Here is a 25,578-nt window from a genome sequence, read left to right as displayed (position 1 = left end):
AGTGTTAGAATACCCCTTAATGTACTATCTTATTCCATCCTCACAGTGATCCTATGAAATAGGCACTGTCATGATACTTAATATTGCAATGTGAACACTGGGTCTTAAGAGAGGTTAAGAGATTTGCCCAAGGCCATGAAAACAGAAAGTGGTAGAGCTGAGCTGCGATGGCAGGTAAAGAAGATGAAAATTCATATTACAGGTACATAATTGGAACAAAGACTTTCTTCTCCTTAGACTACTTAATGTACACACAGTTGCATCACTGAGGGTACCAAGTTTTCCAACAATACACAGGATATGGTGAAATCATCAGGTTAAACTCTCTGGCTTACAGCTAAATCCATCCTGATTCTTCTTTCATTGATGGAGCCTTCCACTTCCACAATTCCTGAACTGACAACTTTTGAGAATCCTAGAGATGTGGAGATGAGGGAAGTATGGATGAGGGTGAGAAGAAAGATCCTCTGGCAGTATAACAGATACAGCCTTCTGATGAATAACGAATACCGCAAGTGTTCAGGGCGGGGGATACTCTTCTCATGATGTGGTTATGACCAAGGGAAGCACAATAGGCATGTAGGTACTGCAGAGAACTAATTTGTTAACAGGCAAAACAAAAACGTATGTTAAATATTCTCACGTTGAGGATTGGATTTTTTTAGGGGGTGGTTGTTTGTTTTTTCAATTTCCTGAAATCCATGTGGTTCCTGTTCTTTTTTTTTTTTTTTTTTTTTTTTGAGACGGAGTCTCACTCTGTCACCCAGGCTGGATTGCTGGCATGCAGTGGCGCGATCTCGGCTCACTGCATCCTCCACTTCCCAGATTCAAGTGATTCTCCAGCCTCAGCCTCCCAAGTAGCTGGGATTACAGGCACGTGAAACCAGGCCAAGCTAATTGTTGCATGTTTTAGTAGAGAGAGGGTTTCACCCTGTTGGTCAGGTTGTTCTCAAACTCCTGACTTCAGGTGATCCACCCACCTCGGCCTCCCAGAGTGCTGGGATTACAGGTGTAAGCCACCACACCCGGCCAATTCTAAGGGTCTAACCTTGATTTCATCACATTTGTGACTCAGACTTTGGTGAGCATCAGGATCACCTGGGGGTTCTGAAGGCACAGCTTACTGGGTTCCACCCCCAGAGTCTCTGACCCACTAGATCTGGGTGGGGCCAACCATTTGCGTTTCTAACAAATTCCTAGGTGATGCTGCTGGTCTGAGAATCACAATTTGAGAGCTCCTCGGGAGGCTGAGGCCAGAGAATCGCTGTATTAGGTGATCACTGTATTAGGTGATCAGCATCAGATGAAATCATGGTGAGTTTAATTTTTTGTTTTGCAGAGCATTTTTCACACTTATTGAATCATAATTTAAGATTTCAGAAGCCTTGAGATGAAGCAGGTTTAGAAATATGTCTCTTTTTTTCTTCTGAGACTATTTCTTTATCTTTTTTTACTTTTCTTCACTACTTCTCTTATGTATCTTCCTTACGACCGTTCTCAACTGTGTTTCCCCAGCCAAATTTTCCCAAAGTTTATATAATAGGTTCTACAACTACTACGCAGATATTTTGTACCTTGGTCCCTGTGATTCTATAAAAGATCTTTAAAATATTTCCCCTACCACCATATAACAAGCAGGAATCTTCAGTCGATACATTTGCCTGTCCCTGGGTTTTCGGCCACCAGGGGGCGCCAGTCACACAGGAATGGCTTGAAACTGGCCACTCCGGAGCCACAGTTGGAAGCTCTTTTCAACACGAATTCAAAAACCTGCCCTAATTCATGTCAGGTTAGATTTCTCAGTTAAACTCGCTCCTATCCTAGAGGAAAGGGTTTTTATGGAGATTATTTGAGGCCATGTAAAGGAAGAAAGATTGAGAGAAAAATGACTATCCTTGAATGTAGACCTTGAACCAAGTGCGGTCTAGAGAGGCTTTGACACTCAAAGTGGTCCATGGACCAGCCGCAGAATCACCTGGGAGTTAGAAATGCAGATGCACGGGCCCCAACTCAGGATTCTAAATAAAACTCTGCAGTGATTCCCCTAAACCTTACAGTTTGAGAAGCACTCCTGTAGATGACGGAGAGCCAACTCTCCTCTCTTATCTTAAAACATGTATGCCTTCATTCTCCATCCCTACCTCGTCCTCCCCCCGTCCAGAAAAACATGAAATTGACCTGAAATTTCCACTGTGCTTGATCTGTTAGAGATACATTTAAAGATTTTTTTTAAATGAAAATGCATTTTTTTAAAAATACTTTCTTTCCCGAGGCGACTTCGTAGGGTTGTTAAAAATGCAATTGAAATGTGCTACTTAGTGGCAGGCGGCAAATCATCCCATGATTAAGAAATTTTTCTGACAATCATATACTGGGGTGAAATGGTGTCCAAATGGCTTGTGTGATTAGTCAGTTTGAGCCGAAAAATCTTCATAAATTCAGTCAGAAGTGTCAGTCTGGTAGCTCTGTGAAAGACACCCCTTAACCTTCTCTTGCCTGTCTTGGTCAGAACAGCTTCTTATACCAGTGACCCATTTCTCTGTTCTCATGGCTGCCTTCCTTGGGGAAATCAGACTGCAGAATATAAAAGACAAGCTTTAATTTATCTTCTTTCTTTATGCTTGTCCGCAACACAAACACACGCACATACTTTTTCCCTCTTGAGCTAAATGTTAACTTCAGCACTTCTCTTGCCTTAATGTGTCTTCCTAATTAGCTTTAACATTAAAACCAGCTGCTACTGCAGTGTTTTTTACTTTTATAAAGCATTAGAAGATTAATTGACTCATTATGTGGAAACAGGAGGATATAAATTTAGGGGAGCTTTTTGTTTAACTTGGGTTATAAATTGCAGCTCATTTTCTTTATTTATGTTTTCCCCACCTTTTACGTCTCCCATAACTAAGGGCTTTTTTGTTTTAGTTTTATAGATGATAATTTCTTTGTTTCTTCAAAGTGAAATCATTTCAGTATGCAGATACTGGCTACAGAGTCAAGACAAAAGCTAAAGTTATAAAAGCTGCTTGCACAGTCTTTGCTTGTCAAAGGAGAGGACTATACTGTGAGTCAGAAGGATCTGGCTACTTTCCTATCATTAACTAACTTTGGGTTTCAGGCACGTGTTGTAACCTCTCTGAGTATGCACTCCCTCGTGTCAAGAGGAGCTAAAATCAGCTCTCTCTAGCTAACAAAGCAGCTATAATTAAAAGATTAGATGATATATTATATAATGAACTTTAAATGCATTATACAAATCAGATGTATAACTTTTATTTAGCCCTCATTATTCCAGCCTGCATAAAAACCAAATAGATGCTATATCTTGCCATATACAAAAAGGATTATAAATGTGTGTGCTACTACCTAGTTAGTGATCCTGAGAAATCAACACAATCATCGTAATGGTTAATATTTATTTAATTTTCACTATATTTTAAATGCTTTAGGTACTGAATTAATAAAATTATCTAAAAATTATTATTTACACTGTTACATTTATTACTGATCCAATAGATAGATAACATGTAAGTTGGTTTTAATACATCTGAATGGGGTTAGGCTAAGGACTTGACAAGCTTCCTTTCACATAATCACAGCAACCCAAAAAGTAGGTACCATATATTTAGTTCTGTTTTACAGATTACATGAGGAGTTGAGGTATTTACAGAAGTTTGGTACTAACTCAGGTTTATATGGCTACAAATTCCATGGATTTGAATCCATATGCTTTATTGCCACCTTCTATCTGTGACTCAGCTCCTTTTTTGTAAAAAGAACGATCTTTGGAGCTTTTATCTGGCTCCCAAACTCTGATTCTGCGTTTTGGCTTTACATGCTGCTCACTCTCTACTCTATCCTCAAGAATGCTAGAGCGTAATACAGTTCCTCAAACCCATGAATAAGGTGCAGTGGGACATGGAGCTCAAACCAGGCAGAAATGACGGCCTGGTGCAGTGGCTCACGCCTGTAATCCCAGCACTTTGGGAGGCCGAAGCAGGCGGATCATTTGAGGTCAGGAGTTCGAGACCAGCCTGACCAACATGATGAAACCCAGTCTCTACTAAAAATAAAAAAAAAATTATCCAGGGGTGGTAGTGCATGCCTGTAATCCCAGCTCCTCAGGAGGCTGAGGCCAGAGAATCGCTTGAACCCAGGAGGTGGAGGTTGCCGTGAGCCGAGATTACACCACTGCACTCCAGCCTGAGTGAGACTCCATCTCAAAAAAAAAAAAAAAAAGAAAAAGAAAAAGAAAAAGAAATGAGGCCAGACGGCACCCAAGGGCATACATTTTCCTTGCAAATGGAAGAGCTTATCCCCACCAGAACCAGTATAAATCTGGAGGACGAAAGGAAGAAATCGAAGGTATTTCCAGAAACCCATTCCTAATAGACAAGCTATGTTTTAACCCCGATCTCAGATCAGCCTTCAAACAACCTTTAGGCTCCAGTGCTTGGGCAACAGTGGCATAAATAGGTCCTTGGAGGGTAGTTTTACAAGACTGTCCCCAGGCTTGTAGAGACAGTTGTCAGCAACTAGGATCTATTTATAAATCATGAGGTACTAGCTGCAAGTTGCTCTCTGATTTAAAAAAATAAATAAATGATGAGAAGCACTGTATCTTTTTCTTTTCCTTTTTTTTTTTTTTTTTTGAAGATTGGACTCATTATCTAAATGTGCGTAGGATTGGGAGTAGTGGCTTACATTCCTAAGGGGCAGGTTTATATTTTTGCTTAATTGCAGTAGTGATAACATTTATTATATGCCATTTATTGACTACAAATTAAGTTCAGTAACTGTACTATGTCTAGTCCTCAAATGAGTCTCCAAGGTAAGTATTACTAGACAAATTTTATAAATCAGGTAAACTGAGCTTAGAGACATTACTTACTCTCATTCACATAACAATTGTGGAGCTGGTTTCAAACTCTAGCCTAAGTGACTTTCATGCTAGAACTTCATTTGGGACATTCTGCCGCTCCTCCAAGACCTTTTCAAATTTTTTCTTCCCTTGGAGTTTTGGAATTATTGGGAAGATTTACTCAATCTAAAATACCAGGTAGAGCCATGGCAAAGATATTTTCGTGAATTGTTATTTTGATTATTCTACTAATTCCAAGAAAAAAGGCACACACACGTAAAAAAGCACCAGAGCCAAACCCTATGAAGGAATAATAGTGAGATGTTCCCAAGTTAATGCTTAATCAAAATCACCATTAAACACTATTTAAAAATTGTCATAATTTGGCCAGGTGCAGTGATTCATGCCTGTAATCCCAGCACTTTAGGAGGCCTAGGCGGGCAGATCACCTGAGGTCAGGAGTTTGAGACCAGCCTAGCCAACGTGGTGAACAAAATTAGCTGGGCATGGTGACACATGCCTCTAATCCCAGCTACTCAGGAGGTTGAGGCACAAGAATCACTTGAACCCAGGAGGCAGAGGTTGCAGTGAGCCAAGATCGTGCCACTGCCCTCCAGCCTGGGCGACGGAGTGAAACTCTGTCTCAAAAAAAAAAGTCATAATTAGTGTTATAGGGTATATAGTAATTGATCCAATATGTCAGGAAGAAGATGGTAGTTAAGATGTAACTGAGGTATTCCAGAAGCCTGAAGCAGGAATATATTTGCATGCCATCCCTGTGCCTGGCCACCTGAAACCCTTGAAAGTAAAAAAATGATACCGAGGGCATGGATTTGAGGATCCAAAAAAGGGAATTTGTTAATAAAGTGAAGGTGACATCAGTTAATTCCTGGGGCAGTCACAGAAAAGATACAGGACTGGCAAGACATACCTTGGGTTTCTATAGTATTATGCATTTAAAGGGCTGTCGAATTATAGGCACGCCTGTCCCATGTAGCACATCCAGGCATTACGTAGCCTCAGCCTCATTAAGGAAGCTTTTCAGACTTGACTCCTCTAAATCTTTCTTTGTTTCTTTTATCTTCTTTTCTTTTGTTTTCCTTTCTTTTCTTTTCTTTTTTCTTTTTCTTTTTTTTTTTGAGAGAGAGTCTAGCTCTGTCACCCAGACTGGAGTGCAGGGGCGCCATCTCAGCTCACTGCAGCCCCTGCCTCCTGCATTCAAGCAATTCTCATGCGTCAGTCTTCCGAGTAGCTGGAATTACAAGCACACACCATCACGCCTGGCTAATTTTTGTATTTTTAGTAGAGACGGGGTTTCACCATGTTGGTGAAGCTGGTCTCAAACTCCTGTCCTCAAGTGATCCGTCCACCTCGGCCTGCCAAAGTGCTGGGATAACAGGAGTGAGCCACCACGCCCGGCCTAAATCTTTGAATCTCGATTAAAACAACCAGCTTGGATCCATTTAGGCAGGATTTATATTTTCTCAACCATAATTGAAAACATTTTTTAAAACTCAGGACTATAGAGACAATAAGGTTTAATCGAGAATGGCTTATATGGAAAGAGAACATATAAAAGACTACATATATAAATATATAAATTATTTTAACACATATGTACATAAAATTTCCATCGCAAAACTAAATGTTGATGTTACTAACATCAATTTCGACTCACACTGGAAGTGGTGAAATCGTTTGTTAGGTGTAACTAGGAAATGTCAGTCTAGTCTGGATTCTGTTGGTTGTCATTCAGGTTTTCTGGGCCCATGAACCTGATTCTGGGTGACTCAACTGTACAAGTGTCAGCAGTGCTCTGTCTGAAATTGCTCCAATTCTACTCTCAGTATTTTCTCATTAAATGGATTTCTAAGGATATTTGCTTCTTCACAAATGCAGCCTGTGGTTGCTGCTGATCTGCAAAGGGACACTTCGGAATCTGATCTGTGTTGTCCCTGTGTGGCACTGTACTTTTAGTCTCAATAAAATTTTCTCTGTGTTCCTCTACTCCACCAACCACAGCACAAATGGAAAAGGCTGATATTTTTGACACCAGAGAAAAGGTCCCAACATTGCCCACGTCAAGGATTCTATGACACTCCCTGACTATGAGATATGACCATTACCATATTTGTACTTAAGAGTACATAATTCTACATACTCTTAAGACATGTTTTCAAAACACTTTTCCTTTTTAAATCACTAGTAGGTAAAAAGAATAAAAAACTAAAAAAAAAAAAAAAAGAAAACTGGAGGCACCACTCTTATACTAGAGGAGGAAATTATTGGCATGATCCCAAGCAAATGAGTAATGATTATTAGAATACCATTTATTTACACATGTGCCTTTATTATAATAATTGAGTATATAATAACTGATTCAATGAATAATGGAGAAATTTGTTGTTTAAAAAAACTTTAACAGTAATTCAGTTGCTGTCCAAGAGAATTAATCTCTCTGTTTTAAATGGTTTTAAAATGATTATAATGCATTCCTCAGCATATTAACCATTCTTCTTTCTTAAGGGTCTCCAGTGCCAGTAGGTATAGATGTCCATGTTGAAAGCATTGACAGCATTTCAGAGACTAACATGGTAAGTTTCTTCATGGGATATTGCTCTTTTTCTGAAAAGACAGAAACTCGGCAGTGTCAAAATCACTAGTGTTTTAATAAATCATTTTAATTATGTATGTTATTTATGTCTCCTACTTTGATTAATCATAGGGTCATGATTGCTGTGCTCTCTTCCATCCTCTTCATTCTAACCTTGATTAGAATTCTCATTCCTTTTCTACTCTTCTATTTTCCTTCTAATGGATTTCTAGTGGTGGAACACTGTAGAACATCATGATATATTTACCAATGTAGCAAGAACTGGGAACAATTGTATAAACAGAAGGATGACCATACTATATGTGCGATATGAAATCCGAATCATGAGTCCTTGCCTGTAAAATAATAAACAGTTGAACCAGCATTGATGGACTGCTTTCAAATATATCAAATGATATTAATTTTGCTTATCTGTAGACAACCAGTAGCAGAGGACAAAGAATTTTTTTAAGTTCATGGGACTAAAAATTTAATTAAAAATTTGTCTACTCCCTTATATTTTTCTAGAAATCTAAAAAAGACTGCCATTATTTAATTTTGCAATGAAACATCTGTATTTTCCTAGAGTATTATTCACTCTATGAAATATCCATAAAACTTGAAACTGATCCCTTATCTTCAAGCTTCCTGTTAGCCTTTTTCTGTCTTCTATGACATTTTGCATGCCTTGCTTTTCTGTTTCTTCTTCCCGTCCCTTAATCACTTTGGCTATTTTTATGTTTTAATATTATCAACCGTAATTTTCCATTTTATTTTCTCTATTCCCAATTTAGGACCACTTTCCTTGTTTACATAATTACCAGAGACATTTTTCATTTAAGTGATTTTAGGTTTTTCAGTTTTTTTGCTCTAAGAATAGTTAATAACATTGCTAGCTTATACATACAAGCACCTACATATTTGTTTTCAGATATATTTCCTTTTTACTCACTCTTGATCTATTAATTTGTTAATGTAGTTTCAGAGTTTGGTTGAGCCCCCTTCAGTTTGTTTTTCTATCCCAAATAAAGGGTGCCTTTACAGCTTCAAATTTTCAGCACCTGTTTCCTTGTTGTCTTAGTCTGTTTGTGTTACAGTAAAGGAATACCTGAGGCTGGGCAGTTTATAAAGAAAAGAGGTTTGCTTGGCCCATGGTTCTGCAGGCCATACAAGGAGCATGACACCGCCATCTGCTCCTGGTGAGGGCCTCAGGAAGCTTCTACTCATGGTGGAAGGTGAACGGGAGCAGGCATCACATGGCAAGAGAAGGAGGAATGGGGGGTGGGGGAGGTACTAGGTTCTTTCAACAACCAGCTCCAGGTGGCAGGGGTGAAGAAGGGAGAAGACTGTCATGGGAAATAATTGAGAACTCATTCATTACTAAGAAGATGGCTCCAAGCTATTCCTGAAGGATCTGCCGTCAAGACCTAAATACCTCCTGATATGGTTTGGCTCTGTGTTCCCCACCCAAATCTCATCTTGACATGTTGAGGGAGGGACCTTGTGGGAGGTGATTTGATCATGGGGGCAGTTTCCCCCATGCTGTTCTTGTGATAGTGAAAGAGTTCTCATGAGACCTGATTATTTGAAAGTGGCAGTTTCCCCTGCACATGCTCTCTCTCCTGCTGCCCTGTGAAGAAGGTGCTTTCTTCCCCTTTGCCTTCTGCCGTGGTTGTAAGTTTCGTGAGGCCTCCCCAGCCATGCAGAACTGTGAGTCAATTAAACCTCTTTTCTTTATAAATTACACAGTCTCAGGTAGTTCTCTATAGCAGTGTGAAAATGGACTAATACACCTCCCTTCAAGCCCCACCTCCAACACTGGGTATCAAATTCCAACACAACATTTGGAGGGAACAAACATCCAAACTCTATCACGTGTTCTTACCCAATGGCTATGTGTCTTTATATTTAAATTGCTTTTTCCATCTCATTTCTTTGTCCTCAATTGCTATCTTTTCCGTCATCCTCTTTAGATGGATCTCTTTCCTTTTCTTTCAATACTACACCACTTTCAGGAGTTAATGATAAAGGCCCTAACTGGTACCTACTAGTAAGATGCAGCTTATGAATATGTTTTGGTTTGGTTTCAATTTTGTATTTGGTTTGAATTTTAGTTTTTTATCTCCATTCTACCCAAAGTAGTAAACAATTTAATGTTTGGGCCAAGAGCAGTGGCTCATGCCTATAATCCCAGCACTTCGGGAGGCCAAGGTGGCCAGATCATTTGAGGTCAGGAGTTCGAGACCAGCCTGGCCAACATGAGGAAACCCTGTTTCTACTGAAAATACAAAAAAAATTAGCTGGGTGTGGTGGCACATCCCTGTAGTCCCAGCTACTCAGTAGGTTGAGGCAGGAAAATAACTTGAACCTGGGAGGTGGAGGTTATACTGAACCAAGATCACACCACTGCAATTAATCCTGGGTGGCAGAGTGAGACTCTTTTTAATAAAACCAAGGAGTAGCTCTTCCATGATTGGGAAAAGTTAAGTTATTTTCTTTTCAAACTCCATTTTCCATCTGAAAAGATTTAGTTTGTTGTTTATCCAATCCACTCATTTGATGGCCATTTTTACGTACATGAATCCTTGAATTTCATTCCATTTTCTGGAATATTTTACATGTGTGTTCTTATAAAACTTTCAAAAGTTGTTTTTATATATGCTTTAGAATAAGTATTGTTGATACATAAACTGTAGCTTATATAGTGATTTTCAGAGTGTTAAAATTTAAAATTTAGATTCTGTGTATTATTTTTGTAATAATGCAAATACTGCAATTAAAGATAAAAAGAGAGAGACAAAGTGAACAAACAGGGATCTGTTGAGGGAGGGACCTAGAAAATATCAATCACTAAAATCAAATAATCTTTTCATCTATATCCTTAATTCATATTTTTATTTATAGTGATTCCTCCAAATCACTAAAAGTTCAGAACACATAAAAATTCTAGAAAGTTCTAAACAAAATCTTCTATGACCCATTACACCTTGTTTCAGTCTGTAAACTCTTCAGCTAATGGTCTGCCTCATCCTTATCATTATCTAATTCAATATTTATTTCAGCTCAATGTAAGTCTTAAAGATTCATTTGCCATTCTCCTGCAAAAGGGAATAGCACTAATAGGACTCGCTACTCAAAAAAGATTGGTTTAGAAGATTTTGCCCCTTTCTTACCCAAAGGCAGCTCTTTTACTGATACTTCCCCAAGCCTGTTGTGCTCTGAGAACAAGCTTTTATTTCCCCTTTCCTGGAATATTATCCAAGTCATTTCTGAATGACATATTATCCAAGTCATTTCTGAATGATACTTCCCCAAGCCTGTTGTGCTCTGAGAACAAGCTTTTATTTCCCCTCTCCTGGCGTATTATTCAAGTCATTTCTGAATGACCCAGTTTGCATCTAAAGTCCTTATTGTTTCTAACCAGCAGCACCCAGAACTGGACATCATCTTTACCTCCTGAATAAGGTTAGCTGTGCTAGTCCGTATCAGATAAAACTGGACTGGGTTCACATGCCCAGTTTGAAAATGCTTTCTGATTGTCAGTGATTCACCCTTCCCCCTAGTGTTGGTTTTTTTGTTGGTTTGTTTATTTGTTTTTGCTTCTCATTTATCATCTTTCTACTCTCTCATCCGCCCTAACTTCACTTTTGATCTATTTAAGATTTGTCTCACCCTCCTCCCAGAATGCTGTTTGGCCTGCTCCTGATAGTGCCAGCGTGTGGTGACTTGCTATATCACAGACATGCACCAACGTCTGCTATTTGACTGCATAAACTCAGTGTTTGCCCAGTGAACTTCAGATCACACTGAGCATCTAATTCTAAATATATGCTTATTAAGGCTCTCTGTGCAGTAACCCACACAATTCCTTGTATTATGTTAATGAAGCAACCATTCTGTTTATTTGCCCTCACCCTAATTCAAAATTACACATGGCTAATGTTCCTAGATTAATCCAGAGCCATAAATCAGTATAGCTCTATTCTGAACCTAGGACAAACTAGCTCATAATTAATTGGTGACTCATTCAGAGTTTACTGAAATGTATCCTTTGTTTGTATAATAAATGCCAAAGTTCTATGATATGCAATGGTTCAAGAAAAATTTGATTAGTGTTGGAAAAAAAGATAGTAAGAAGTAAGCAATTGTGAAATAGTAAGAAGTAAGCAATTGCAAAATAGTAGGAAGTAAGAAATTGTAATTGTCCAACAGCCAATAATTTGGATGAAGCTGGGGGAGTTTCTATTCAAACAACCAAATATTTGGAACATCTGAGAGCCAAACAAAACTCAAATTATTAACTAAATAAACTGTTTTTTCTAATATAATGCTAGTACAGTTTTTTCCTCTCATCAATACATTCTTACAATGTAAGAATAAACAGTAACAATTCAAATCCCTGAGCCATACTGAATCAGAATCTCTGAGAACTAGCTTCTGGGAAATGTGCCATTTCAACAAACTTCAAAAGTCAGTCTTTGCACACTAAACTTTGAGAACTACCATTTCACAATATGCTTTCTATCTCTCAAGCTGAGGATGATTCTGTCTCTGTCCCAGGACTTCTGACAACTTGCTTTACACGAATAGCTCTAATAAACACTGTATCCATGTTTTTATGGGACTGTAGTTTATTCGATTTGGGAAAACTTCTTTAACAAAAATAACATGAGTATCAATACAAAATCAGTTTTAAAAGTGATTTAGAATAAAAAAGGAAGTCACAATAAAATAATGGACAATAAAATAGTAAAGTTTCAGGTTCCTTTCTTCTGAAATCTCTTTAGGTTATTTACCAGAATGCTTACACAGAAATGCTTCCCATTTATAACCTGGTTCCCCTTCCCCAACTTGAATATTCTATTATAACTCCCAGAAATTCTCAACGTTCACTAGGCTCCATGTGAAGGAGAAGCTCAAAGCATAACCTCCTTAGCTTCATCCTAGATCTACTTGAAACTACAATATTAACCATTCACTTAAAAGTCATTAACACCATAGGAATGAGTCCTGGGACTAACAGTGTTGAGTGGTCATCCTGAACCATATTCCTACTGGTTTTTTTGGTCTCTTTTTCTCTCTGTCTAGGACTTTACAATGACTTTTTATCTCAGGCATTACTGGAAAGACGAGAGGCTCTCCTTTCCTAGCACAGCAAACAAAAGCATGACATTTGATCATAGATTGACCAGAAAGATCTGGGTGCCTGATATCTTTTTTGTCCACTCTAAAAGATCCTTCATCCATGATACAACTATGGAGAATATCATGCTGCGCGTACACCCTGATGGAAACGTCCTCCTAAGTCTCAGGTAAGGAAAGCTGCCTATCGCCTTTGGCTTCCCTGTACTGCAGCCATCTGCACCAAAGCTGATGATGCTTATTTCAGATGAAACTCACAATGTTGCTGTCTGTTTAATGCTGCTGGAGATTGGGACACAAGCATAAGATGTGATTTTCCCCTGGTTCTAACATCCAGATTTTAAAAAATGATTTTCTATTCTAACTCTACCCACTCTGGGTATATGTCGATTGGACAAATAGAATGAGCTGAATTATGGAAATCCTAAAATCTGGCACACAATATTATAAGTAAACAAGCCTGTTTTCCTCCTCACCAACTCCACCCCACCCTGGCACCCCACCAAGCAGTTTTGGAACCTTGGATTAGCTAAATAACTTTTCTTAGTTGTCTCCTTCATTTTTCATGGGAAGGCATGGCTATCATTCAAGCTAACACCAATTTGCTCTCTTTTTCTTTTCTTTTAATTTTAAAATGTGCATTCCAACACTTTGCTATAACAGTCCTCCCTTTTTAATGTTCCATATTTTCTTTTAGTCAAATGAGTTCTGTGCATATTGAGTGGCTTATCATGGATAATTCTAAAAATGTTTGGTAAACCCAAGCAACTCAGCTTTTTTTAATGTCCTACAAACCTTAGAAAAATTCTAAAGTAGGGTGAAGAAATGATACCCCAAAAGATATCCATGTCCTAATTCCTGGAACCTGTGAAGCTTATCATATATGACCAAAAAAGAAAAAAAAATCCTTGCAGACGTGATTAAGTTAAGGATCTTGAAATAGGGAAGAAATTATCTGGATTATCTGGTTGGGACTTAAATGCAATCAAAAGTATGCTTATAATAGAAAGGTAGAGGACAATTTCATGCATACAAAAGAAGAGTAGGCAATGTGGTCATAAGTCAAGGAATGTTGGCAGCCACCAGAAGCTATAGGACACATGGATTTTCCCCCTAGAGCTAAGAGTGAAGGGCCTTTATGACACTTTGATTTCAGCTCCATGATACTGATTTCAGAGTTCTGGCCTCCAAATCTGTGAGAGAATAAATTTCTGTTGTATTAAACCACCAGATTTGTAGTAATTTGTTACAGCAGCAGTAGGAAACTCATACAGATTATTTTTGCTCGTTAAAAATACCTTAACCACTTCGGCACAGAGCTGTTGCCAGGCATTTTATAAGTGCTGTCAATGTTCTTAAAATGCAATTAAAGGAAAATATCACTTTCAATGGGTTTTTTGGGGGGGTTGGGGGAGGAACAGGGCCTCACTGTGTCACCCAGGCTGGGGTGCAGTGGCACAATCTCAGCTCACTGCAGCCTCTGCCTTCTGGGTTCAAGCGATTCTCCTGCCTCAGCCTCCTGAGTAGCTGGGGTCACAGGTGCCTGCCACCATGCCCAGCTAATTTTTCTATTTTTAGTAGAGACAAGGTTTCACCATGTTTGCCAGGCTGGTCTCGAACTCCTGACCTCAAATGATCTGCCCGCCTCGGCCCCCCAAAGTACTGGCGTTACAGGTGTGAGCCATGGTGCCTGGCCTCAATAGGACTTTTAAGTCAGGAGTAGCATAGGACTCATACATACTGGAGTCAAGTCTCAACAGGAATCAGGAGCAGAACGACACTATCTGGACAAAGAATCAATTGTTTTAAATTAATTTTGGTGGGGGGAGGTCCAGTAAATAATTAACTCAGTGGATTTTTCTTACCCTGCACATTCCAGGAAATATTTGGCCCTAGCCAGGCTCTTGCAGGGTAACCTCTAACCCCTTGGAATATCCTAAGTGATGAGAGTATCTTTGTTTACTTTGGGTCCGGGGGCCAAGCCAGATGGTTTCTGCTAACAATGTGATTTACGGTGGAGACTTTGAGCTACTAGATATCAGCTTGACCTCTGGAGGGGGCTGGAGACTAAGGTCAGCCATGTGGGTGGTCAGTCATTACTATGTGGCTACTCTCAGTTGAAAGTGTAGATACCAAGGCTTGGGTGAGCTTCCTTAGTTGATAATGTCCCCAGGGTGTTGGCACATATCATTGCTGAGAGAATTAAGCGCCATCCACATAACTCCATTAGGAGAGGACAACTGGAAATGTGTTCCTGGTCTCTCCTGGACTCTGCCCTGTGCCTCTTTTCTACTGTTGATTTTCATCTGTGTCCTTTCATTATAATATAGGTAACCAAGAGTACAACAGCTTTGCTGGGTTCTGCGAGTCATTCTAGTGAATCTCTGACCCTGAGAGTGATCTTGGAGATCCTCTAACACAGGAGGAACTCAAAATTGTTGTCAGCACAGCTCTTCCAGCCAACAGCAGAGCCAATCCAAGCCCAGAGCCAGATCCCCTGGTTCCAGCTTGGTTCTGACACTACCTAGCCACCTAGCCTCTTTGGTCATTAAGTCACTCACATGTACTATGAAGGAAATGAACTGAAACACCTCGGAGGGTCCTTTCTAGGTTTAAAGTACTAGGAATACACCAAAATGAATCCTTGGCTTGATGTTTTGTTGCATGACTATTGACAATAGAATTAGCCCACAGCAGACAAAATGTCCCTACTCCTCTGGTTAACTCAAGGGCACCACAGGTAGGAGCATCTGTTGCCTTTGTTTTTTGCAAACCTGCTCAGGGGCCCTTTATGAACCTCTGATCTGCTATTGTGGGTACCAAAGTTTCTACTTTGAGGCAAGATCATAGTACAGCAGCCTCTGCCTGAAGCCAGGAAAATCTAGGAGGATATAAAATTTGAAAAAACCGTTCTCATCAGTATGCAAGCCTTTTGGCTTAATAGTACCTGAATTATGCATTGTGCACATAGATCTATAACTAAGAATGCTCCAGGCTTTTCACTCACTACTGGAAAGAGAATATCCTCGGGTAAACTTGCTTTGTGAAGGAAACCTTTAACTTCAGGTTTTTATTGCCACCATTCCAACCCTTTGTTACTACAGACTATTTATGTGTGGATCTTCCAGAAAGCAAAAAATATTTAAATCTATTTAAAAGTCTCTCACTTTGAAGAGTGTTTTTCTGGAGACATCAGAGCCAGAAAATACTGAGGGGGCTGATCAGGAAATGGTGAACTCAGAAGCAAGGTATGAGAGCTGAATTCACTCATTGACTCTGTGTCTTAAGAAAATCATCTACCCTCCTGAGTTTGCTTCCTTGCATGTCATTTGGACAGAAGATAATACTGCCTGTTTTGCATTATTCTTGAAAGACACACAGAACCAGCAAACAGTAAGAAAGCTTCAATGTTGCATGCTCATTTGGCCAGATGGTTAAATGATCTGCAGTTTTCTTTTTCTCATTCTTTTTATAGGATAACGGTTTCGGCCATGTGCTTTATGGATTTCAGCAGGTTTCCTCTTGACACTCAAAATTGTTCTCTTGAACTGGAAAGCTGTAAGTCTCACTTCCTGGTGGAGTGAGTGCACATCATTTGAACACACCATCACATACTTACATGTAAATAAGCATGCTCTTAACAAACATTTTAAAATACTGATATATTTATCCAAAACTGAAACAATTGTGGCTTCTTTTTTTTTTTTTTTTTTTTGGTTTCTGTTTTTTATGAAGGTTGATGGCAGTTTGTCTGTTAAAGGAGAAGGTTCAGGGGAAAAGTGTTTTGATAATTGCATATTCTGTAGTTTCCACAATAAAGGAACAGCTCCCTAAAAAGTCTATTCTTGCTACTGTTGTTACATAGACTGACACAGACTTTCTACATTTGGAAAGCTCTGGAATTCACGTTCCCAGATGAATCACAATCCTCCATTAAGTAGACTTGGATTCCCTAGAAAAATCTGACTCTAGACATAGACCCCCTAATCAAAGCCCCATCACAGGGCATCTGAGCTGTCAATCACTTTTACCAATCAGCTATTTTTGATAGAAGATCTTAAAAGCTGACTGCAGTTTTTGCAAATGTGTCTAAAATGCTGGGAATCTCACCAGATGTCTACTCCACAGATGCTCCGCCCTAACTCCATTAGAAATTTTCCATACCACTATTTGACTTTAGAAAATTTCTTGTAAGATTGGCCCATTTTGGAATTTCATCCAAGGAAACTAAAAACAAATGGGGACTAACAGCCTGGAGTCAGGCCTGTGACAGTGAGGGGATGCTATGGTGTCACTCTGAGGCCTGGCTTAACACTCTAAGAGAATGTACACAAATATGGGAGCAGCTATCTGGGGAGTTTCAATTCATTGTGTGGGCACAAGATCCATACTATACTAGTCATCAGGGTCTAACTTTTAGAGATTCTTTTTCCTCCTCCTAAAAGTGTGTGTATGATCAGTCCATTGGCAAACATATTTTTATCACCTAATATGTACATGTCATTGGAGTAGGCACTAAGGATACAGAGCCACATAAGACATGGTTATAGAACTCATTGAGCTTACAAGAGCTTATTACACTTACAAGACTGATATTTTCATGTTTTAGATGCCTACAATGAGGATGACCTAATGCTATACTGGAAACACGGAAACAAGTCCTTAAATACTGAAGAACATATGTCCCTTTCTCAGTTCTTCATTGAAGACTTCAGTGCATCTAGTGGATTAGCTTTCTATAGCAGCACAGGTACAGCATTTTACATGGGTGATTCATCAGCATTTATTGGACATCTACTGTTTGCAAAGCACCACAACATGCGAAAAGACCGGAATCCAAGCGAGTGTCCCCTTTGGCCAGCACCATCATTCCTCTCCTTTTACAGGGAGCAAGCTCCACCCTTCCATACATCGTTTCTTTCCCACTCATGCAGCCACCTCTAACTAGATGCCTTGCTTCCATTCTTGACTTCTCCAGTCTCAATACAGCAGACAGAGTAATCTCTTTGGAACATAAAGTTCACAATTCTTTCCTGTTCTAAACTTTCCAGTGTCTTTCCATCACATTTACAACAAATTGAAGTTTCTCAACGTGATCAGTCTCCTGCCTAATGTGGGACTCACCCACTTCCTCTGCCCCTCACCACCTGCTACTCTCCCGACACTGGCGTTTTTGCTTGCCTGCCTCATTCCATCTACAGGGCCTCTGCTTGGCCTTGTCCTCCCTCTGCCTGGGGTGCTTTCCCCCAATATTCTCATGCCCTTCTCCCTCATTTCAGTCAGAGCTTTGTTCAAATAGCTTCTCAAACAGTGCTTTCCTAACCAAACCAACCCCGTGTAAAACAGGCTTCCTTTCTCACCGTTCCCTATCTCGGTCATCACAGCACTTACCATCACCTGAACTATGCGTTTATTTGACTGCTTTGTTGTGTGAGTGCCTCACCAGGAAAAGGGTGGGGAATCTGTCTGCCTTGCTCACCATTTCTTCTGCAGCACCTGGAATGTTCTTGGCACGTGACAGATGCTCAATAAAAATCAGCTGAATGAATCCATCCATAAAGTGCATCATTGCCCCAAACAGAAAACCTATCCAAAATTGGGCCTATATAGTACTCTTTACTATGACAGATATATTTCTGAATTGACAACTTTTATCCAAGACACCTTTTAAAGTTATATGTGATCCCCATTGACTAAAGTTGGAAGCAGCCTCCTTCGGTTCCCCTCTGCCCTCCTCACCCTCCACTATCATTCCCCTTCTGGATATTAATATTCTGGGTTATTTTAGGCCGAATCCATATAAAATGCCACTTCAGATTCAATGCAGCCATGCTTAGGCCAGCCAGAAAGTGTGCCAACAGCTGTCCCTGAGTTTCAGAGCTGTCCTGGCTAGAATGCTTTACCTACTCTGCCTTGATAGTGGTGTCTCTTCTCCTCAAAGATTCTCCACTCTGTTCTCAGATCTTGGAGAGTAGTTATCAAGTTTGTATCTAAAACCTGCAGCTTTAAGAGAGAAGTAGAAGTTGACATTGCAGAGAAGTTAAATGATTCTCTAGGAACAACAGCTATTTATCTATTTAGACCCAGAAGAAATTCTCTATTTCACTCCATTATTTGTCTACATTGCTTGGGATTCAGCAAATGATGCTCTCAATTTTAATCATGTTTATTGCCTTTTCTGATTATGTAAGTAGCACATATTTATTTGTTTTGATCACTGATATATCCCTGGCTCATAGTAGATGCTCAAAGGCTAATTATTGAATGAATGAATAAATGTTAGATAATTTGAAGAGACCTCAGAAAAATTTAAAGGAAAATCTCTTTGTAATCCTACCTCATAGAGATAAACTATATTATTATTTTGATATATTTTTCTGCTCCTCCTTCTTCTCCTCCTTTTCTCGGTTTGTCTTTCTCTATATGAATAAATATAGGCATATATTTATCAGGATTTTTAATGTTCTTACTTAATCCTAAATTAAATTAATATTTAAATAAAAGAATGTATGCAATGAAGCATGGTATATGTGAAGTATAATTTATAGGATGTGTTTTCATTTTACTATTGCTAAAATGAAAAATAACTTTGGCATATGATAAATTGTAAATAGATATTTGCAACATTTAATGCTAATATAATGTAATATATATGAAGCATAGAAATCAAAAAGAATTGTCTCATGCACAGAACATATGCAAAATATACAATAATTATGGCATTTCTTTAGCTTTTGAAGCACAACTATCCATTAACATATATCCAACCGTCCTCCTAACAGGAAGTTAAATTTCACTTCAAAATTCTAACTTTACCACTAAATCATTCCATTTGCTCTACCATAATTTTATTTGTGCTTGTCAGACTTTTTGAGCCCTACCAGGCAGCTACAACACTAGCTGATTTATATCTTTTTCTGGTCATGTTTTAGAATCTCTCTAAAGCCAGGAAAATACTGGCATGGAAAAACTTACTGCTTACAAAGATGCTTGCATTTTAAAATGAACTTACAAATCTTTAACGTTCAAAGGTAGTTACATTTTTAAGAAATATCATTTTGGTTCCTAAGAAAAATGAAAAAAAATTAGAATTAGGTTCAAATGTACATGCTTTGTGTAACATGAGAAGGAGACTTATCCATAATACATTAATATTCTTTAAAAGCAAGTTACGGAAGAATATATTTTAAAAATCCCATATTTGTTATTGAAGAATGTATGTATACATATTTATGAGTGCATGAGTGCTTATATACATATCTGTGCATATCGTGTGTGTGTGTGTGTGTGTGTGTGTGTGTGTTAAAAGCCTAGAAAGATTAACAATAGATACCTCTGAGAAGTAGGTACAAAAAACACTTGTATTTTTTAATTTGTTACAATATACCCATTTTTTTTAATGACAGAGATTGGTAGGAAAAATGCCGAAGGGAGGCATTTTGGAAGTTGTATTCAAATATCAAATCAATAATCATATCTGGGTTCATTTAACCATCCCTTAGTTAGGTTTCGGAAAGATTACATTTAGAAACTTATTTTAGTTCATGAGCATGTGATAGCTCTGCCTCACATTATCCACGAATCATTAAACATAATCTTCTGACAAACTCAAGTGTCTTTTTCAGACTAGTTTCCTGTTTAAATATTTTAGCTTCCTCAAAAATAATTTTTGATTTGTTTTCTTCACTCCTATCCTTACAACTACCAGCCACAACCACCACTCCCAGGTGTATAGAAAAACTATACATCTGACTCTGGCTATAAGAGTCAGAAATATAGTTATAGGACCTTAGTTTCCATTTTACAGCTGAACAACAGGGTGTTTTTTTTTTTTTCTTGGCCTTCACCACTACCGTTGCCACTGTTCAAAAATCACCACGACCTGGCAATATTAACAAGCAGATGAGGGCTTCTGCCTCCTGATCCCTTTCTCAAAATTCTCAAAATCATGCACTATAAATTTACAAAGAAAAAAGAAATGACTCCTGCCCCTAAGGGATGCATTGAATAATTATTCTTTATCATAGCATAATCTAATGGCTGAATGTGTAAGTAGTAGAAACAGACTGCCTAAGTTCAAACCCTGTCTCTATCATTTATTAGCAACCTGACCTTGGACAAGTTGCTTAATCTCTCTAACCCTTAACTTTCTCATCTTTAAATGGGTTTCATAATACTCTCTATATCATAGGGTTGTGAGGATACATGATGTCATATAGTTAAGTACCTTAGAATGTTATCTGCCATATAATAGAGGCTCAATAAATATTAGTTAGTAGCTGTCATCATCACCCTATTTTCATCCACATTATTTTGATCCTTTTCATAGAGAGTATTAAGGCCTACTTTCAAAGGGCCATTGAAGGTGACTGTCTCTAGGTATAAAAACCTTCTTTATTCTTGTCTTGGGACTGACTCCCCAAATACTGGCCCAGTCCTCCATTTCCCTGGGTGCCAACTCTCTAGCCTTTTTCTCTCTGTTATTAACTCCTCTTCTTTCTACTGTATGGCAAACTAATGGAGGCAGATGTACCCGTCCCCATCCAAAATTTAGTTCAGATGCCAAAACTGATGATGCCATACACATGACAAAAGGGTATGAAGTGATTTATTACTTACATAATGAGGCTTTCTAGAGAGAGATGGGCAGGCTCCCAAGCAGGTCTGAAATGAAAAATGGCTTGAGAAAACAGGAAGGGGCTACTGGCTTGGGTTTTTATGGTAGCTAGGGGGTGCAGCTAGGGTGAAGGCTGCCTGTCGTAGGACAAGATGCATGGTTTGAACTTTTCACAGGTGCCAAAAAGAGACCTAGGCTTTTTATTAACTTGCTCAGATGTAGGGCAGAAGGAGAAGTTGGGCTTGAGAGCTTTTAGCAGTCAAACATCAAAAATAGAATCAGACTTTTTATTGTACTACCCAAAATGAAGGCTTCACAACGTTCCAAGGCAGCACCACCTTTCCTGATAGGGAAATGGACTCCCCATGACCTGCAGGTTCAACTAAAATACCACCCCTAGTCTAAAACCACAAGACAGAGCCACAGTTTGACTTCCTGGTTACTCCACCCTGCCCCCACCCCACCAAAAAAAAAAAAAAAGGACAACTGTTCTTCAGAAAATTATGAATAAAGAAAGGATGCAGTTAACTAATTTTATTTCAAGTTAATAATGAACAGAAAACTATATACCTTAATACTGTCTTTCTTTTGAATTTCTTTCACAGGTTTTCCTTATTTCTTTTAACCTCACAGTAGTTATATAAAGTTGTAAGGTCAGAAAGCTGTTATTGTACTCTACAGCCATCACTGAAACTCTCAGTGGTACACAGTAATAAATTGGGGCTGTGATGTAGGTGATACAAGACAATGAGAAGCTTAAAAATAATTTATATTTTAACTTTATAATGTACTATGTGATGTATATTTTATTACTCCTGGTAATAAAATTGTTTGGTATTCCTGAACATATATAAACTGACTGTTAGAAGCTTAGAACTAGGTAAGGAAGAAAAAGATAATGAGTATTTCATTGAGAATAGGATTCTAAGAGTAGAGTCTGCCAGTTCAGTGTGGGTTGGCCAGGTGTATTTCTTAGGCCAAATGCCTAAGTACTTAAGTGATCCATCTAATAGGTTTGCCGTCTTGGGTTTCTAAGAAATTACTGCTGAGACTAGCAGAAGGGTTTTCCAACTCTGCAATACCTATGATTTTTATTTTATAACTTTTGACCTATAGTCCCTGTGTTTTGAATAATGTTATTTGAAAATAAACAGCATTTATCATAGAAAAAAAATCTTGCTACTTATTCAGAAAAGATGTATTTCCATGTTTCCTCATGTATTGCCTTATTTTAGTAAAGATTTAACAAGATTAGCACATAGTTATTGTGAAATAAAGCAAGGTAATATAAATTAGAAATGTATGAGAAAAAAAAGAAAAACAAGGATAAGGTATTATATATATCCTGGTATGTGTATGTGGTCATTAAAGAATGGTGCTCAGAGAAGTCCTGTAGATGTCTGAAAATTTGGCTTTAAACTTCCTTGTAGTCAATGGGAGAGGTAAACCTGAACAAAATGTGTGTGTGGATGTCACCACAAATGGTGCTTTTAATTAGCGCAGTTAATATTACCAACGTGAGTTTATATAATTTCAATAGGAAGCAAAGAAACATCAGTTGGTTACTTTTTTGCAGATTCATCATGCACAAATTATGGTACTTGTGAGACTTTAAAATTGTAAAACTAGCTTATGGATGCTGTTTTCTTTCTCCTTTGAATCCCCAGCTGTCTCCATCTCAGGTCAAAATCCAATGACCTAGTACATACTCTGAATCTTTTCATTCAGTTAAATGTTTTTTTCATTTGTTATAGCTAATAAATGGTTTATTGGTTCTTTTATGCCATTATTAGTCATGTATTGAAGACTTTCCCTCTTGCAGAAACGCCACAATACAATATATTGTGGAGACAGATCTTTAGAGGCCATCCCACAAAAGATAACCACTATTCATCCCTGAACTGCGGGTTTGGAAGTTAAAGGGGATCTTTGAGTCAAATAATTAAGCAGACTGCAGTTCAGCTGGTTGAACAAATGTTGATGGAGTGCCAGGCCCAACTAAATGGAGATGAGTTTGTCAAATTCCGTGTCCCCAAGAGCTTGGAGTCTAAAGAAGCAGGTCATTTCACTAAGTGCAGTGTTTCTAAGGGGAAGCTTGCTCTAATGAAAACTTTGGCTTTTTTCCACAGGTTGGTACAATAGGCTTTTCATCAACTTTGTGCTAAGGAGGCATGTTTTCTTCTTTGTGCTGCAAACCTATTTCCCAGCCATATTGATGGTGATGCTTTCATGGGTTTCATTTTGGATTGACCGAAGAGCTGTTCCTGCAAGAGTTTCCCTGGGTAAATCTTTCCCCATCTTTATAAAATGTTAACATGGGAGAAAGTTCAAGGGAGGTAAATAAAATGGGTCATACATGGAGAGGAAAAGAGAGTGGTGGTTTAGTAGGGATAGTCAGAGATGAACATCCAGGTTGCAGTATCGATCTTGACATCCTCAAGGGCAAATTGTAATTGAGTTCTTTCCTTGGGAACCCGGATTTTAGGGATGAAGTCTTTGCTGACTGACCTGCAGTTGGGTGATAGTAAAGAAAGGGGGTGAAATTATGAAGCATAAACAGCCTCACTTTTAAAGCTTATCTCTTTTCTTTTTTAAGAAAACCTCCCCATGCTTTATACAAGTCCATTTAGCTTTTCAGGACAAACCCTTACATCACAGAAAGGAAAACCTTCAAACTAATTCACACTATACTCTTAGTGTATTAATAACAAATTACCTTGGTGGGTTAACAAGAATGTGGAAGGGATGCTTGAATTTGAAAATATGAATACTGATTAGAAATTAGGACTTAACTAAAAGACCAAAATCAGAATCAACCACAGTGGAATTTCAGGTACAGTGGCATATTAGTTGGCAGGAGATTTTAGGTGGAGAGACGTTGCCAGCCTCATTAAGTCACTACACAGGGTTGATTATCTACACCGTCTAACATGCTATATGCCTCTGTCACACACACTGATTTATGGGAACCATTTCAGACCCACTTAGCAGTTATTGAGATCTTAGAAAGTAGAAGATACCAAGCTAAGCACTTAGATGACATGTTACTTAATGAGAACCCAAGAGATAATCCCACTTGCCTTTTTTGCTGGTCAGGGCTGATCCCCCTCATTTTATCTGATTTTGCTCTTTCATTTGTAGTGCTCTATCTAGAGAGGAGATTGTTATTATTACAATCATTGTTACAATTATTGTAATTATCACACAATTCATTCCAGAAAGGGTGGTTTGTAAGTTAATGTTCACAAATTATATGCATACTTCAAAAGATCATTTGAAAGACATAAATTATTAATATTAACAATTTGCTCACCTCCTTTCCCTATTAAAATATTCAATCTACAAGCATTTGAGACTTGAATATCTTCAAGGAAAAAATACCATCTGAATAAGTAATTAAATTATTTGAACTGTTTCTTCACATCAGAGCATGTGCCCTAACCTCAGTACTGCAGTGTGGCAGCATAGACCCAAATACAAGACCAAGGGCACATTTCCAGCCCTCTAGACACAATGAGGAAAGCACTCAGTCTATAAACGTTTATGAACATGATTTTCAGTCATATTTCTGAAGTTGACTGCTCTGCTCTTATACTGTGAAAATGACAGCAATAAGAGCTACTTCCATGGAAGGGTGGAGTGAATTGGGAACACTAAAACACTTTTAAGACATCCTTGAAATTCTCTGCTTCTTGCAACCACATCTGATCCCTTAGGGTTAGGAAATTGCTATGCAGATTTATGTAAAATGCATGCAAATCAGAAGTGTCCCTCTCCCACTTTTTAAAAAAATTATTTTAAGAGAACAGTAGTATTCCTATAAAACTGTTACCTTCTCAGGATTTGCTTCCTACCACCCTCACTTTTTTTTCAAAGATAATTTGCCCTCTTCTTCCCTAGCTCTTTGCAAATGCTTAGCTGCCCAATTCTCTGGAAGGTCCCTATGAATACCTATTCATCTGTCCCAATTACCTTTTCTCTTCTGCCTCCTTCCTTCACCTTCTCCACAGCATTTGACATTATTAGGCATCCTCTCCAAATCTAGGACCAACTTTAGTGGTCAAGAGTTCCAGCCTCATCTTCCTCATCTGCAAAATGAAATTATTCATACTACCTCCTAAAGGTCACTATGAGAATTAAATGGGAGAATTAATTAATTTCATCATGTCAACTGCCTAGCTTGATGCCTGGCCCATAGTGTTGGATGAAACCAACTACACACACAATGCATTAGCTTTCAATACTCTCCGCTAGTCTAGTTTTTTTCTACTCCCAAAGACTTTTTTTTCCTTTTCTCTTTCCTGCTTTTTCTTCCACTCCTTAAGTATGAGTAACTCCCTCCCAAGGATCTGCTCACTTTTGACTCTT

The 25,578-nt window shown here is 38.5% G+C and overlaps 1 protein-coding gene across 1 annotated transcript in view, besides 2 other annotated features; it reads left to right on the top strand.

The window, feature by feature from the left end:
* Positions 1 to 25,578, top strand: part of GABRR3 (gamma-aminobutyric acid type A receptor subunit rho3) — a 50,214-nt gene that overhangs the window by 10,209 nt on the left and 14,427 nt on the right. The window contains exons 4-8 of the mRNA NM_001105580.3: positions 7,385 to 7,452; positions 12,540 to 12,763; positions 16,069 to 16,151; positions 17,203 to 17,343; positions 23,340 to 23,492. Coding sequence (NP_001099050.1) covers positions 7,385 to 7,452; positions 12,540 to 12,763; positions 16,069 to 16,151; positions 17,203 to 17,343; positions 23,340 to 23,492 — 669 coding nt within the window. The remainder of the gene's footprint in view (positions 1 to 7,384; positions 7,453 to 12,539; positions 12,764 to 16,068; positions 16,152 to 17,202; positions 17,344 to 23,339; positions 23,493 to 25,578) is intronic.
* Positions 1,737 to 1,786: an enhancer, noted in NCBI's record as "active region_20130". NCBI's record gives its function as "activates an Ori minimal core promoter by ATAC-STARR-seq in GM12878 lymphoblastoid cells {active_cell/tissue: GM12878}" and the evidence as "EXISTENCE:reporter gene assay evidence [ECO:0000049][PMID:35858748]".
* Positions 15,965 to 16,134: an enhancer, noted in NCBI's record as "active region_20129". NCBI's record gives its function as "activates an Ori minimal core promoter by ATAC-STARR-seq in GM12878 lymphoblastoid cells {active_cell/tissue: GM12878}" and the evidence as "EXISTENCE:reporter gene assay evidence [ECO:0000049][PMID:35858748]".

The sequence above is a fragment of the Homo sapiens genome, chromosome 3, assembly GCF_000001405.40.
Source record: "Homo sapiens chromosome 3, GRCh38.p14 Primary Assembly".
NCBI classification, from domain to species: domain Eukaryota; kingdom Metazoa; phylum Chordata; class Mammalia; order Primates; family Hominidae; genus Homo; species Homo sapiens.
This window is presented reverse-complemented; position numbering and strand designations above follow the sequence as displayed.